Source organism: Homo sapiens, chromosome 2 (assembly GCF_000001405.40).
Source record: "Homo sapiens chromosome 2, GRCh38.p14 Primary Assembly".
In the NCBI taxonomy this organism is placed as follows: domain Eukaryota; kingdom Metazoa; phylum Chordata; class Mammalia; order Primates; family Hominidae; genus Homo; species Homo sapiens.
The window spans coordinates 236,731,059-236,747,269 of record NC_000002.12 but is presented as its reverse complement, the minus strand read 5'-3'; the positions used below and the strand labels follow the sequence as shown (position 1 = coordinate 236,747,269).

Here is a 16,211-nt window from a genome sequence, read left to right as displayed (position 1 = left end):
GAAATAATAAGGAAACACTTCCACATAAATGGAATTGCATCCTGGATTTCAGAGAAATGCTTAGGTGAGGGGAAGAGGGGTCTTGCGATCCAGGAAATGTCCTTCTACAGCCCTGTCCACTACCCAAAGCCTCGCCTGCCCCACAGCCCCGGTGCTGAGATGGGGTTCTGAGATGGGGGGACCGTGTGTGGTGGTCCTGCCAGGTAGATGGAGCGATTCGCTAGTGTGGCTCTCGGGTCATGACCCTCCCTGTTGTGGGTCCCAGGGGGTGGGTTATTGGAATTGCAAGCTCCCCGATGTCTGGCTTTGCCGGCACCCACCTGCAGCCTTGCCATGGCACTGTCCCCTCAAGCTTCTGCTTAGAGGCTGTCACCCGGAAGAATTGCTGAGGCCAGCCCTGCCTCTCACCTAGGGTATTGACGGTCATTGTGAAGAGCATAATGCTTTCCACTAATCCATCGAGATGAGGCAACATAACAGCACTATTCCTATCCATAGAAATAAATAGAAAGGAGCTGATATCCTCATCTCTTGATGTGATGGGGCTACATGCTTTGATCATCGAAGTGCTTCTGTATACTTGATCTCAAGAGGGGAGAGCAGTGCAGAGGGAAATAGTCAACTTTTTTGTTTTTGTAAGTAGCACAGTAGACTTTTTTAATGATTAAATGATTTTTTTCCAGATTTGATAAAACTGAAAGGAACTTTTGTTTTCTGTTTCTGTTGGGCTGATTTAAAGAAGAGATGAAATTAAAAAGATAAATAACAACAACAAACAACAAACAAAACAGTAACTGGGAAAGCTTCTAGAAAGCCAAGGGTATCTTTTCATCTTCCATCCTAGCTGAATCTCCTACTCTGTCTTCTGCACTGATTTTCTCTTTCTTTTATACCTTAGACAGGGTTCTGCCTAGTCCTATTTTTATATCTTTACAAGACACAAGATTACAGCCTACTCCCCATTTTAGGACTCGAATGACACTTTCACTATTTGACATTTGTTTTGGTCTGTCGAGCTAAGAATAATTTGTGGGAGCCCAACAGCTGATTTTAATAAAAGAACCATGGAAATAATATTCGAAACAAACACAAAGCATCAGCCATCTCCAGCAAAGGAGCTGGCATGCAAATCCAGATTATCTTCCCCACCTGGCCACCCTCATGCTGGCCTGGGAGCTCACAGCATTCAGCACACAGGTTCAATCTTGACGGGATAAGCCTGCTTGTGTTTCAGAGCTGGGTGGCAGACAGGCCACTGGTGCAATTCTGTGTCTCACGCCCTGGGGGATTGTTCACTGTGCCTCAGCCCTCCTACCAGAGAGCTTATTCATGAGACAGGTATGTACTTGGGCAAACACAGAAAGCAATGCAGAACACGATTAGAAAAGCAAATCTTTTGCCTTTTCTATTTAGAGCTGGGGATGAAGAGGAATGTGTGTACCTTTGTCTTAAGATACACAGAGATACCATCAGTCTGGAGGAATTACTAAAATGAATTTATTTAGAAGACACAAACTCCTGGTATAAATTTTGTGAATTTTGAACTTTATTTTTAGATCCAAAGTAAAGTAATCTTGGGTTCTAGCCTAAGAGGCTTCCAACAGTTCTATATTCTTATACCATTCTGTCCAGAGCAGGAGTGGCAGCCCAAGGAGCTATGGAGCCTGGCCCTCCTCTTTCAGATCTCCTTAACACCACTTTCCCTGCAAATAACCTTCCTTGTTAGTTGGGACTTGTTGGGTCCTTGTTAGTTAACCCCACAAAGGCATCTTAGTTGTCCAACCGAACATCAAGAAATTCTAATCTAAATTAGAATTTATATTAATTATTTAAGTTTCATTGCTATTCTATTAATAGAAGAAGAGAGATGCACCCCCCAAATCTACCACGACTAATCTAACAAATCCCCAATGATTTTTTTCCGAGAAATTACTGCACTAGCCCTTCAAATCTATGTGAAATTTCACATTGATATAGTTGTGTGGATCTATTTTCCCAGATTACTTTTTTAGGAGGACCATTCAGAAAGTTTTATAAAGCCCTCCTAGAGACAGGAAGAGGGAAAGTCACAAAGAACTGACAGAAACAAATTCCTACTTATGTGTTTCCTGAAATTATCTACCCTTGAAGACGCTCTCCAGCAACCTAAGAATGGTACTTTAAGAATATCTCTTAACAAATATCTAGGTTCTAAATGGAAGCAAATGTTGATTTACTCCTTTGGTGATAATGTCTACAAATTCTGTAAATAATTCACATTCTTACGGCTATTAATATTGTAAAGACCACCCAGGTTGATGAATAGAAGTTTTTAGCTAGAAGAGAAATAGCAACTGTGGCTTGGAGGCTAAATTCCATTGCAGAAGCTCAGCATTAAGGAACATCTTCCAGGAGACATGGGGTACCTGAGGGTGGGGAAGGGGGGAAGTCATGAATGTGTGTTCAGAAACCCATGGCAGGGACACTGAGTGGCTGTCCACCCCACCCCAGGCTTGTGTGAATGTTGTGTTTATTCTTAGCCTTCAGAGCAATTAGCCAAAGTTCAGTGATGAGTGGAAATCTGGGGCAAACACCAAAATAATACATTTAAAGGGAATAACCTCAAAAATGCAACAAGCTGCATCTCTCTGTATCTCCCTAGAAACTATTGTGCTTTGTTTTTTCTGAATGAAGCAATTTTCCTTTGCATCTCTAACCATGTTTTGTTTTGTTTTCCGCTTTTTGGCAAAGAAAGAAGAATCTGCAGGCCTTATTAAAGCACTGATAAATGCACGCAGCCCCTCTCTTTTGTCTCTTGGCCAAGGTGTCTGTTGTGGGGGTCTGTGCGCTGACTCAGCAACCGCACACAGTAATTCTCTCCAAGAGAACAGTCAATGGTCAGCAACTTCATATTTGTGGTCAAAATGAAGCGCTTAAGAAATGTCTACAGCTAATGAAGTACAGCTGACATGCAGAAGCATTCGTGAATGGGATGTGTTGGTGATTTTCACGAAGCATTTTTGTATTTGCAGGATGAATTTTGATTATTTTCATTCAGAGTTCTTTTTGACAGCCCTGAGAGTGAATTCAGTAGCATGGTGTTCTTTCAGTACCAATAGCTAAGAAAATCAAAGGGTTGTAACTTAGGAATCTGAGGCATATTAAAAGCCAAAGGTGTACAGCCCAACAAAGCAATTATACAATTCCTCAGCTCTGCAGGCTTTGGCATGATCTCCTTTTTCAAACCATGACATAAATGAGAAGAGACAGAAATGGTGCCCAACAGACAGTGATGCCAGGTTGCAGCTGGATTTTCTCCTCCTATCCTTACCCATGAACTTGTATCTTAATAGTCTAACAGAGTTTTAAAGAACTGCGTGTGTGTCCCCTGATATAGTAAGAATGAAGATAAATCTCTTCTTTTCTGCTAATGACACAGTTTTATTATCATGAACTAGGAGTGATCTCAAAAGATCTGACCACAGCCAGGAAGAATGAATCAAGCTGAATTATGTCAGACCTAAAACCATTGTTTTTGCAGACAATCTCCACAACTCATGGGTCGCCACTCTGTAAGTTCATGAGCTAGTTGATGTGTTAAGCTCGGTTGTCCTGGTGAGAGCCTCCACATCCTTAGCTGCTCCAAGACACGTAAGAGAAGCTATCTCCGGAATCTTCCTAGGTCTCCAGTGACAACAATTGGTAACACTTACACTCTAGATGTTCCAGGTGCTAATTGTCTCTGCTGGACTCCATAAAGTGTGGAACTCTGGGGTCTCACTAAGAACAAGATTTAAAGTCAGACGAGTTCCAAAGATACTTCCTGAAGAGACTCTTGGATTTTGCCTGTGACAGCCCTCCCCAGGACGAGGAAGGCAGCCTCCCCTTGGGACAGCACTCTACGGACTTCTCAGTGTTGGAAAGAGCTGGTGGGTCCTGCCAGCCCACCCCTGGATTTCCTAGTACACCAGCTGTGCTCCGTCAGCAGTGAGGAACTGCAGACCTCAGGCCTTTCCAGGGAGCTCCAAACAGGTCCCAACTAAAAGAAGTGACGTTGAGCCGTGGACACAGCTGCCCTGTGTCTCTCTTGCTTCCCTCAGATTAATCTCTGGATCGCATTAAGATATCAGAGGCTGCATACTCGGACGACAGAAATTTAACCTAATCCAGGATCTAATTTATTGAGTTACACTTTCATGCCAATGCCTGGCCTTTGGTTCATTGCAAGAAATTGTCATAAGAAAATAGCTCTTAGATCTGTTGTAAAAACACTGTTTAGGCCTTTTCTCATTATGTTATCCATCGTCCTGCAGTGGAATTCTGGTTTTAATAATTCATTTCCAGAGACAATTGAGTCAACCCTGAGGAACTGAAATACTTCCTATTTTCTGAAAATGGAAACCATGTCATATAACTTTTTGCCTCATTTTTCTCTCTGTTTTTTTGGGATGCTCAGAAACAAATGCAATGCCTATTCTCAATGTATTGTCCATTCTGAGGAATACGTTTTCTTCTTCTGTTTCTGGGTTCTTGCTTTCTAATTTGTTTGCTATACTGTTAACCTTTGGGGCTATAGGCCCTACATCACAGCCAAGCTTTTTCGAAAATAGTGTATTTTTAAAAGTAGCCATTTACAGTAGCTTCTAGATTTATGTAATTAGTGGTGAGAAGCAGTGAAGATAATGTGCCATTTCTGCTCTTCTTACAGGGACTCCTACAGGGAATTCCTACTCTTCATATTTGTTCTCTGCTAAACCAGAGGAGACACATCTTGCTCTAGAGTTCCCCAGAACCTGCTCTTCTGGGTCAGCCTCCTGCTGTCTTATTCTTCCATCTTTTCTCCACCTATGCCCAAAGCACAACCAAGGTCACTTTGTTTCTTGAGCTGAGTTCACGCTGGAGCATGTGAGTACATATTTGCTTCCACAGCCTTCTGAGTCAGTCACATGGGCTGAGATGTAATGGAGTTTCTCCCTGCTGGAGTGGGTCTTGTGTATTTCCCATAGGCTGGTGATATCTCATTTCCCAGTGGTTTACAGATCTTCACATGGAAGGGCAGGCTTCTGTTGGAGCTTCCTGGCTGGAGCACTTGCTCGAATGCAATGGCTGATACCCGCAGGTACAAGACCAGTCCATGGAAGCACATTGATACTCTATAAGATACTGATTTTTCTTACCCTTAAAATATTACTATTGGCCCAGTGCAGTGGCTCATGCCTGTACTCCCAGCACTCTGGGAGGCGGGCGGATCACGAGGTCAGGAGATTGAGACCATCCTGGCCAACATGGTGAAACCCCATCTCTACTAAAAATACAAAAAAAAAATTAGCTGGGTGTGGTGGTGGGCACCTGTAATCCCAGCTACTCGGGAGGCTGAGGCAGGAGAATGGCGTGAACCCGGGAGGCAGAGGTTGCAGTGAGCCGAGATCGCGCTGCTGCACTCGAGCATGGTGACAGAGCAAGACTCCATCTCAAAAAAAAAAAAATTACTATTAGCAGTTTGCATCAAAATGATTGCATTCTCAGCAGATATGGAATGTCCTGGAGGTGTGTTTCTCCAGAGTCTATTTCAATGAAAATTCAAGAGGAGTGTAGAATTAGCCCCTAATATAATCTCTACCAACAGTCCATGAAACTATGTATGAAGCTCCCTTGAGAGGTCAGACAGGGTGGGGGGTCCAGGGGAAGAGGGGAATTGAAAACTTACATCATTACTTAAAGACTGCACTGCAGTGTCATAAATGCTGTTAGCAGCTCAGGCTCGCCTCACCTCTGCATCTTAGGAAGGCGTCTCAGAACAGATATTTGGTTGCACAGTAAATCCGATGAAATGTTGCCTTCAAGAGACTCATTAAACAAAATGACTTGGAAAAGTGAAAAAGCAAAAGCATATATCAGTCATTTAGGCAAAATGAAAGGAGGGACGGCACTATCATTGCATTTAAAGCATGACTTGGTCATTTTATAGGAATTAAATACACAATCCAAGACAAAGACATCATAGCCATGAACCTTCATTGCTTTGTGATATAGCCCTGAATTATACCAAGCGAATCCTGTTCAAATATCAAGAGGAAATAGACAGAAACACAATGGATGTAGAACTTAACCCACCATTTCCATGTGTTGAGAGGCAAGGAAACACACAATATAAAATCACTTGGAGAAAAAGGCCCCGCCACAGCAACCTCATGGCCCTGAGTGGGGTGGGCTTTCCTGCTCCAGCCCTGGTGCTGAAGCAACGTGGAGGCCCTGCAGCTTCCTCCACGCTTCCACACTGAAAAGCAGGGTTAGTTTAAAAAAAGGAATTACAGTTCTGGAGGGAAACATTAAATCCCTGAAGTTAGAATTTCCTGGTGAGTACCTGAAGAGAAGGTGCCTTAGGAGTGAGTGCCCTATGGGGCCATAGTGGGGCCAGGCTGCCCCTAGGCCTAATCCACCTCCCCAGCAAGCCCCCAGTGCTTGAGAGCACCAGGAGCCTGCCAGCCCTGCAAAGCCGTCCCTCCCCTCACCTGCTGGTCTCCCTAACCTCTCCAGGCACTCAGAGGAGCCTCCCCAGGGGAGCTCTCAGGCCTTCCTGAGAAGGAGGAGAGGCCTCAGATAGCACTTCCTGCAGCACGGTCCAGCGGGAGGTGAGATGTGGGTCAGGTCCGGGGGGAGTACCCGGATTGGTGATTCCGGGTGTAATCAAAGGAGATGGGTTGGATGTCTTCCTCAAAGATGAGTGTGACCCGAGCCAGGTCCCTTTTTCTATCTTTGGTTTTCAAATACCAGGCCTGTCTCAAAGTAATTTTATAAAGAAGGGAAAAAGGAAAGAATGGTAATACACCCAATGAAAGATTAAAATACTGCTACAATAACAAAAGAGCTCAAGTCTCCTGCTAAAATCTAAAGACCCCCAGTGGCTTCCTGCCTTGCCAAAATCCTTCCAAAGATGATCACCTCCTCCCTCGGTCACTGCTCCATCCTTTCCCACTTCTCTCCAGCCACACTGGCTTCTGCTTTCTCTCCACACTCCGGTCACCTGCGTTTGCTGTTCCATTTGCCTGGAATGCTCTTCCTGTACATCTTCCCATGGCTCCCTCTGTCACTTCCCCTTCCATGGCCACTATGTCTAAAATTACAGCCTTCCCAACACACACACACACACACACACACACAAACACACACTGACCTACTTCCTTCTTACTTGCTCTGTTCTTCTTAGCATTTAGCACAATTCAACATTTTGGTTTTTATTTATTTTGTTTTCCATCCTTCCAACCCCACTGGAATATAAGCTCCATGAAGAAAGAGTTTTTTTATGGTTTCATTTTTTCCCCCAGCATCTAGATCAGTACTGGGCATGTGGTAGCCCTGAGGACATGGTAGCACTCAAGAAATATTTGCTGAACAAATGAAGAAACTTACTGTAGACCTGAGATATGTGGGTACACCCTTATTATCATAGTGCTTAGACACTTGCATCTCTGTTTGTTTTCCTTGGTTCCTGGCCATTGAATAGTCTTGACCCAGAGAGACACCATTTTATAATGGAAGGCACTTCTTGAGAACCAGAGAGACCTCATTTCTCATGATCTCACTGTGCAGGACTCAGGTAATTCCCCCAAACTTCTCTGGACAATTCCTCATTCAATTGTAAATAACAATTATAAAAAAGGAAAACAGCTATCACCTTGGGCACTTATTAATAAATCAGACACTGTGCTAATTACCTCCTGATGTTCCTGCAGGAAGCTCAGGGGTGAATACTGTCATTGTGTTATTTTACAGATAAGGAAATGAATTATCAAAGACAGTAAGTCCTTTACCCAAGAGCCACAGCAGAGCAGCAACACAGCTGGGGCTTAAACCAAGGCAGTCACACCCCAGTGTCCATACAATTGTTACTAGACAATGTGACTTCCCTGGGAAAGGGGTCATTTGGGCTAATGTCCTTTCCAGCTCTAAGAATTTCTCTCTGCCCAACTGTTCATCTACCAACCCATCCTTCCTCCTATCCACTTACCCATCTGTCCATCTACCCCCCACTCATCCACACATGCATGCATTTACTCATCCATCCATCCATCCATACATCCATCCATCCTTCCATCCGATCCACCATTCATCCATCCACCTATCCACCCACCTATTCATCCATCCATCCTATCCATCACTTATCCATCCACCTATCCATCCACCCATTTATCCATCCATCCATGCATCCATCCATCCTATCCACCACTCATCCATCCACCTATTCACCCATCCATTCACCCATCTACCCACCCACTCATCCATTTACCCACACATTCACTTGTCCACCCACCCATCTATCCATTCATTCATTCATTCACTCATCTAACCATCCATCCATACGCATATCCACTATCCACCCATCCATCCATCTACCCACCCACTTATCTATAATACTTACACATTCATTCATCCATCCATCCATCCATCCATCTATCCATCCATCCTTTCACCTATCTATCCATCCATCCATCTATCCACATATCCATCCGTCCCTCTATTCTGACACCTTCCTACCTGATGAACTATATGTATCAATAACTCAGTAGAAATATTAGATACATCCTTCCAGTCAGAGAAGCCACTCCACAGTGCATGTCCTACTGGCGGTCAGTCATTGGTGACATCTTTGTCCTCAAAGAATAGTACATCATGGCTTCATTAGCTATACCAATAATTTGGAATTTGAGATGACAGAAAATTGGCCAGAAACACAAATAAACAAACAAACAAACAAACTAACATGAAACTCAACGAAGCAAGAAATACAAGAGCTAACATTTGGTGGAAGGAGAGTAAGGGAGACGTATTTTCAGTATAGACAGAGCGGGAGCTGTCCATGCCTTCAAATGTATTCAATGTCTGGATATTTTTTTTAAATTAAGGATTAGATTGGCAAAACAACACAAAATATAGTTTAAAAGGGGGCAAATAGAAATAATTACCATCCCCTGCAAGTGTTCACCATGGGTGGTGGCAAGCACATGCTCCACTCTCTACCCTGCACCGCCTGCTCGGGGGAAGCCTCAAAAGTGAGAGACACGTGGCCCCTACCTCAAGGAGCCTTCAGTTCTTGGAGAGGAGAAAAAACATGCTTGGTCACATGAAAAGATGGCAGGGAGGGGTGGGAAGGAATGGCACAGGCATCGAAGGCAGAGACAGAAGGTGACATGTTGGGAAGGCTGGGGACAGTGCTGGGTCTTTATAGAAAGGGGGGACCTCCTAACTTGGAGATGGGCTGCCCCAAGGCATAGCTTTGCTGGGCACTTGGAGAGGGAAGCCCAGCTACCAGCAGTCCTTGTCCCTGCCAGTCCTCATCCTCACCTACAGTAGCAGGAACCAAAAGGCTGGGGAACTGATCCTCAGCAGGTTCCCCGTCACCACTCACACAACCCTCAAGGTCAGAGCATGGCAGGAGAGGCATCCACTCCATCCTCACTCACTAAAGCCAAGCCCCAGCCTGGGGGTGCCCAGCAGCTGCTCTGTGCCAAGGGTCCCAGTGCAGGGGTCAGAGCCCAGTGTCCACTCCATACCCTAGGCTTCAGGGTGCATTTGTTGTCCTGTTTCACTTGTTTTCCTGCCCATCACGAGGTTACCCTTAAATCCTGCTGAAAGCACAGGAGTTCAAAATAATACCCTTGCCTTTCTTTTGTGCATATATATATTTTTTTACTCTTTTAGAGCAAATAAATATTACTAAAGTTTGCAATTAGATATTTTCCTTACAGCACAGACTTGGATTCCTTTAAGTGTTGGGGTCTCAATAGCCCCTTGGACTTCTCATCTTTGGGCTACTGGGCCTAACACACTTTGGCCCTTAGAGGAGATGCTGTAGTTGTGTGTGTGTTTGTTTTGTTTATTCTTAAAAGCAGCTTTATTGAGATTCATATGCATACCCTACAATTCACCCAATACACTTTTAAAGTGTACAGTTCAATGGGTTTTTGGCATATTTGCAGATAAGTTTCATCATCACCACCATTAATTTAGAGCACTTTCAACACCTCAAAAAGAAATCCTGAACCCTTCAATTATCAACACCTTACCCCTCTTAAGCAACCACTAACCTCTTTCTCTGGAGATTTGCCTATTCTGGACATTGCATATAAATGGAATCATGGAATATGCAGTCTTTAGTGACTGGCTTCTTTCACTTAGCATAATGCTTGCAAGGTTCATTCATACGGTAGATTTATCAGTACTTTATCCCTTTTTATGGCTGAATAGTATCCCATTGAATGGATATAACGTGCTTTATGTATCTATTCATCAGGTGTAGACATTTGGGTTTTTTATACTTTATGTCCATTATGAATAATGCTGTCATAACATTTATATACAAGTTTTTGTGTAGATCTGTTTTCATTTCTCTTGGATATAACACCCAGGAGTGGAATGAATGGGTCACATAGTAATTCTGTGTTTAATCATTTGAGGAACTTCCAGACTGTTTTTCAAAGTGGCTGCACCATTTTCTATTCCCTCCAGCAGTGTATGAGGGTTCCGATTTCTCCAGGTCTTTGCAAACACCTGTCACCATCTGACATATCGATGTGTTTTGAGTGATGTCCTAGGGATATCTAAGGATAGGAGAGTCCCACAGAACATGAGAAGTGAGCTCAGACTCCAAGGTGGGGATCACTATCCATAACTCACAGCCTTCCCTGCAGATTCCACCAGCCATATCCCATCGGTAGCTTCCCAGATTCCTACTGCCCATTCATCCCTTCCTCAGCTTCTTTCCTTGGATCCCAGTTCACGCTTTGGCGCTTCCTGCTTTTGAAAGCTCCTGTGTGTATCTGACTCTGGTCAGTCCTGACATTGCCCTCAACAGCACACTGCAGATGTGGGCACACACACACAGCCCACACGACTAACCAGCAAGGTGGGCTTCCCCCCAGCCACCCCCTGCCCTGCCACATACACACCCACCAGTGGAGAAGGCAGGAACAATGCTAAAACCCAGCAAATGCTTTCATCTGAACAGGCATCAGCTCTGTACTGGGCTGAGTCTGAGTGGATAGAAGAGGATGAGAGAAGAAAGTTGCAGGGCTCTGCTGACAAAGCACAGGTGAGACTTTCCATCCATGGTGATGTCAGCTGGTGGGGGCAAGGCAGGCGGGGCTCTCAGGCTGTATTCATTCCTGTTTAGCCACCTTGGTGAAAGTTCACGGATAATGCTGATTGAATTATTTTGCAAAAGGAATTCAAACTTTCTGGATTTTACTATCAACTTGAACTGTGTATCATGTTTCCCCTTTTAAAAAGCATTACTGCTGATAGGATTCTTTTAATGGAATTATCATTGACCTCTGGTTCAGTTAGACTGTTTGTATGAACTTTCAACAAAGTTACAAAGGAGCGTTGCCCGGCACCCTCACACGTGGCCCCACAGTGACCAGGGCCACCTGCAACCGGGCTGCCCTAGCAAAGGGAGGAATCTGGAAACAAAGAAAATGGTCCTAATCCTTGAGAAAATTGGACCACAGCCTTTCCCAAGGAATATCCTTCAGAGCAGTAATTCCATAGGCCGGCGATAGGTAGTGAGTAACCAAGAGCCCGGTGCTCAAGCAGGCGTATAAATCACTGATTAAACACAACTTAAGTAGGTTTATTTACAGCAGCTTTTTTTTCTTTTAGTTTTTAATACTACAATGTGAATTACGAATCTCCAGGAGGAGAATATAATATGCGCTGTTTCCGAAGCTCATCTGACTACAAACTGTGTTTTAAAGAATGTCTGGTAGGACTGCGTTTTCATGGAACACATTTTAACACTAAATTACATATTAGTAATACAAACTGGAGACAATGAAATTTCATGACACTTTCCAAATGAGAAGATAGAGTCTGTCCTTCTTGTGCTTGGATCTCAGCCTAGCTGCTCTGTTCTGCCTGTGTAGTGACTGTATAATATATAACATATTTGATGTAATTCTATTGCTTGAAGAATATTGATGCCCTGATTTTGTAAACTTCATAAGGCATCATTGTACAGATACAGCGTTTTGTGTCAAATACCATGCTTTGTAAAGAAACAAGTTTCTTCTCCATCATGCAGTTTAGAGTGTTCTTCCCCATTCCCGGGACTTCTGCAAATGCCATTCAGAGTGGGAACATAGGAAAGCAACATTGTCACCTCACGGTGCAATCACAGCCTTTAGGTGTCATTCCCAGGAGGGTAGGATGAGTAACTGACAAGAAACGTGAGAAGCTTCATTTTCTTAGTAGAGAGCAGCAGGCAAAGCTATGGCTCTCAATGCTAATTTTCTGGGTGGCCACAACAGACCAGTTCCCGTGGGTCCCAGCCTATCAGGAGAATGGCTTCCAGAGTTGACCAACCCACAGACATCCATGGGAAATGCATGGAAACCTGTCAAATTAATGAAATTGATAGATGACACAAAACTGGGAAGAAAGACCAATGTACTATGTGACTGTATTCGTTTCCTTGGATGTTGTAACAAAGTACCACAAAGGGGTAGCTCAAAGCAACGGAAATTTACGCTCCCACAGTTCCAGGTGACAGAAGTCTGAAATCAAGGTGTCTGCAGGGCCACCTCCCTCTGAAGGCTCTAGGGGAGGATCCTTTCCTGCCTCTTCCTGGTGTCTGGGGGCTGCCAGGAATCCTTGGCATTCCTTGTCTGGCAGCTCCATCACTCCAATTTCTGCCTCTGTCATCACGTGGTATCAACACCTCCTGAGTGTCTCTGTCTCTGTGTCCACACTTCCCTCTTATTTTTATTTTTTATTTTTTTGAGACGGAGTCTCACTCTGTTGCCCAGGCTGGAGTGCAGTGGCATGTTCTCGGCTCACTGCAAGCTCCGCCTCCTGGGTTCGAGCAATTCTCTGCCTCAGCCTCCCGAGTAGCTGGGATTACAGGTGCCCACCACCACGCCCAGCTAATTTTTGTATTTTTAGAAGAGACGGGGTTTCACCATCTTGGCCGGGCTGGTCTTGAACTCCTGACCTCGTGATCCACTCACCTCGGCCTCCCAAAGTGCTGGGATTATAGGCATGAGCCACCACGCCCAGCCCCATACTTCCCTCTTCTTATAAGGATACCAGTCATTGGAATAGGGCCCACCCTGTTCTGGTATAACCTCATCTTAACTTGATGACATCCACAAAGACCCTATTTCCAAATAAGGTCACATTCACAGGTACACAGTTGAAGGTGGAACATGTATTTTTGGGGGACATAACTCAGTACAATGACCAAGGGAAAGTCTAGAAACATCTTGATAACTGGAGCGAAGAATAAATGTAGAGAAAGACATTCAATAGTGATCATTAAAAAATGTGCACTTGGGTTCAGACATACACTTAAATGTGTACAGAGTGAAAAAGATGTGACTGAGAGAGGCATGCACGTGAGAAAACTTAGGCACCTTCACAGACTGCAGAGCTGCTAGGGACTGAGCCATCTCCTGCTGGTTAACGATGCCCTGAGCATGATGTCTGGATCACCTCAGCTCCATTACAGAAAATCCAAATCCAAAGTGCCAGGTTTAGCTACAAACACGAGGCCTTAAGGACACTAGTAGACTGAAGGAGGTTCAAAGAGCATGTCCAGGAAAAGTTCAAAATCCACCATACATGAGAAGCCATGGAAAGAAAAGATGGTGAGAAGCAGAAGGGGAAAACCCAAGACTTCAGGAGAACGAGAGAACCATCTTCAAATACTTACAGGGCAGCCGTACAGAGCAGGGTGTGGACCAATTTCCTGTGCCTGCAGATTTAGGGTCAATGACAACAGGGGGCTGTATGGGGGGCTTCAAAATACATTCCAATTTGGAGGCTGTTGAAATAGAAGAGCCTCATATGGGAATTCATGTAGAGAGGGCCTCCACGCCCAAAAGCCTGGCATTGTCCTTGATTCAGGAAAGAATAAAACTTGGAGACTGGAATTGGGAAGGCTTCCTGCCTTACTCAGAGAAGGCTCTCGGCACTGCTGTCTCACAATGCTGGACTCACGCCTTCCATCCCTGGGGCTCAGGGCTGCAAATTCAGCTGAAATAATGAGGACACTTTCCCCCAATCTGAAAAGTGGCAGGGGAGGAGGGAGTAAGGAGCCCAGGGAGAAGATTTCCAAATACATGCAAATACATGCACACAGAAATACATAAATAATAAGTTGTATCTGCCTGAAAGTTACCACCTACCTCTTATTTGTTGGACATATTGGGATTCTGGGTAAGATGTTGGTTTGTTGCTTACATTTTTAAAAAACCATTGAGTCCTAGAGAAATGAACTAAATCTAACCATATGCAGCACAGTAGGATATTAAATACGTGAATGAGAAAAATACTAAAAAGTGAATGAATGGGTTAGGGAGTAAGAGAGTGAGGGAATCCCTTCCTCTGCAGGTTGCGATGGTCCCATCGTGCACCTGAAGATGGCAACTAAAGAGAAAAGGTGTCGTTTGAATCTCTGGGCCCACATAGAACCTGCCCAAAGCAACGTGGGGCTAAAGTGTTCCCTGCCATGAACTCTGGCTTAGACAGGTGGACTCCCAGGAAGGGAGGCCAGGTAACCACCAGGAAGTCACTAGCCACTTTGAGTCACTGGCTGCCACATAAGACATCCTTGGGTAGACTTCAGTGCATTTAAGGCTGGAAACTTACTCTCATGCATTATTTCTTGTAATGTCATTTACTTGTTCTCTTTAAACTTTTTTAACTCTCTGCCCCTTTCCCTCTTGTGGCATCTCTTCCAGGCAATGCAACAGAGCTTCTATTTCCTGGCAGATGGACCATGAGCCTGGGCCAGAGAATCTGGTGCTGAGCTGCTGCAGTCAGCTGAGCTGCTTACGTAACCTGAAGGCTCTCCTGGGAGGACCATGCTGTGAAAGGCAGCTCTGGTTTGCTTCCCCTCAGATAATGTTTATATGGCCTTTTGGTCAGAGAAGAAGCAAAGATAATCCCCCTGACCCTCAGGTTGAGGAGACACAGATCGGCCTTTGCTGAGGGTAGCACAGCAAATGAGGATGCATCTCCCAGCAGGTGACGTGCCCGGTCCTGTGACTCATGCCCTTTATCCCAGTAAGTGATCTGGCTCTGGTAAAGTGCCCTAGGGAGCCTTGCCTGGACAAGGAGCACCTCGTGATAGTCTGCCCTGTGCAACCCGCTGCTGTTTCTGACGAGGTTAAGCTGGATTCAAATGCTAGGTGACAGGACCTTGCCTTGCACGATGGTTTCTTACCCCACAATATTCATCTCAGGGGTGAGCAGGCTAGCAACATTCTTGGATGACATGGCCATTCTGGTGAGATGGTAAATGCCTGGGGCCTGGACTCTGAAGATCTTCACGAGGTCACTCCCGCATGACTGTCCTGAATAGGCAAAGCAGTCTGCCTGATGTAGCCACCCCACTTTCTAGGGTCAATGACCCATCTGCGGCTCCCAGCCTGGGAGTCCTAGATGCTTAGATTAGGTTCTTTTTCTCTCTTAGGGTCAAATGCAAACAAAAATGCTGTGAGACGCAGGACATCAGGGGCATCCCAGGGCCTGAATATTCTTACTCTGACCAGAGCCGGCTCCGGGCAGCTGTCAGCCATGCCTTAAAAATCAGAAGTCTGCACACTTTTTCCGTAAAGGGCCAGGTATTAAATCTTTCAGGTTCATGGGCCACATGTGGTCTCAGATGCAACTACCCAGCACTGCCATTGTGGCATGGAAGCAGCCATAGAGACTTTGTAAATGAATGGGCACGGTGGCATTCCAATAAAACTTCATTTACAAAAACAAGCCATGGGCTGGATTTGGACTATGAGTTATACTTTGCCAACACCTGGTTTAAATTAAATCTGAACTTCCCTCGGAGGTGGACATATTCCCCCTTCTAAGTTCTCTCTTTTTTTTTTTTTTTTTTTTGAGACAGAGGCTTGCTCTGTCACCCAGGATGGAGTGCAGTGGCAAAATCTCAGCTCACTGCAAATTCTGCCTCCCAAGTTCAAGAGATTCTCCTGCCTCTTGAGTAGCTGGGATTACAGGCACCCGCAACCATGCCTGGCTGATTTTTGTATTTTTACTAGAGACAGGGTTTCACCATGTTGGCCAGGCTGGTCTCAAACTCCTGACCTCAAGTGATCCGCCCGCCTCAGCCTCCCAAAGTGCTGGGATTACAGGCGTGAGCCACGGTGCCTGGCCTTGCCTTCCATTACTAACCACTTGCCTGAAATGCTATTGAAATACACCTCTTAGTGGGTGTT

The 16,211-nt window shown here is 44.9% G+C and overlaps 1 long non-coding RNA gene across 2 annotated transcripts; it reads left to right on the top strand.

The window, feature by feature from the left end:
- Positions 1 to 3,730: 3,730 nt before the first annotated feature.
- LOC105373948 (uncharacterized) lies at positions 3,731 to 15,747 on the top strand. 2 transcript variants are annotated; one of them, XR_924022.2, is made up of 6 exons: positions 3,731 to 3,908; positions 4,688 to 4,884; positions 7,484 to 7,576; positions 11,638 to 11,740; positions 14,718 to 15,003; positions 15,452 to 15,747. It is a non-coding gene; the product is annotated as an uncharacterized LOC105373948 (long non-coding RNA). The 2 variants fall into 2 exon arrangements; XR_001739953.1 differs by lacking the exons at positions 7,484 to 7,576; positions 11,638 to 11,740 and having other exon boundaries at positions 14,718 to 15,747.
- Positions 15,748 to 16,211: the final 464 nt, after the last annotated feature.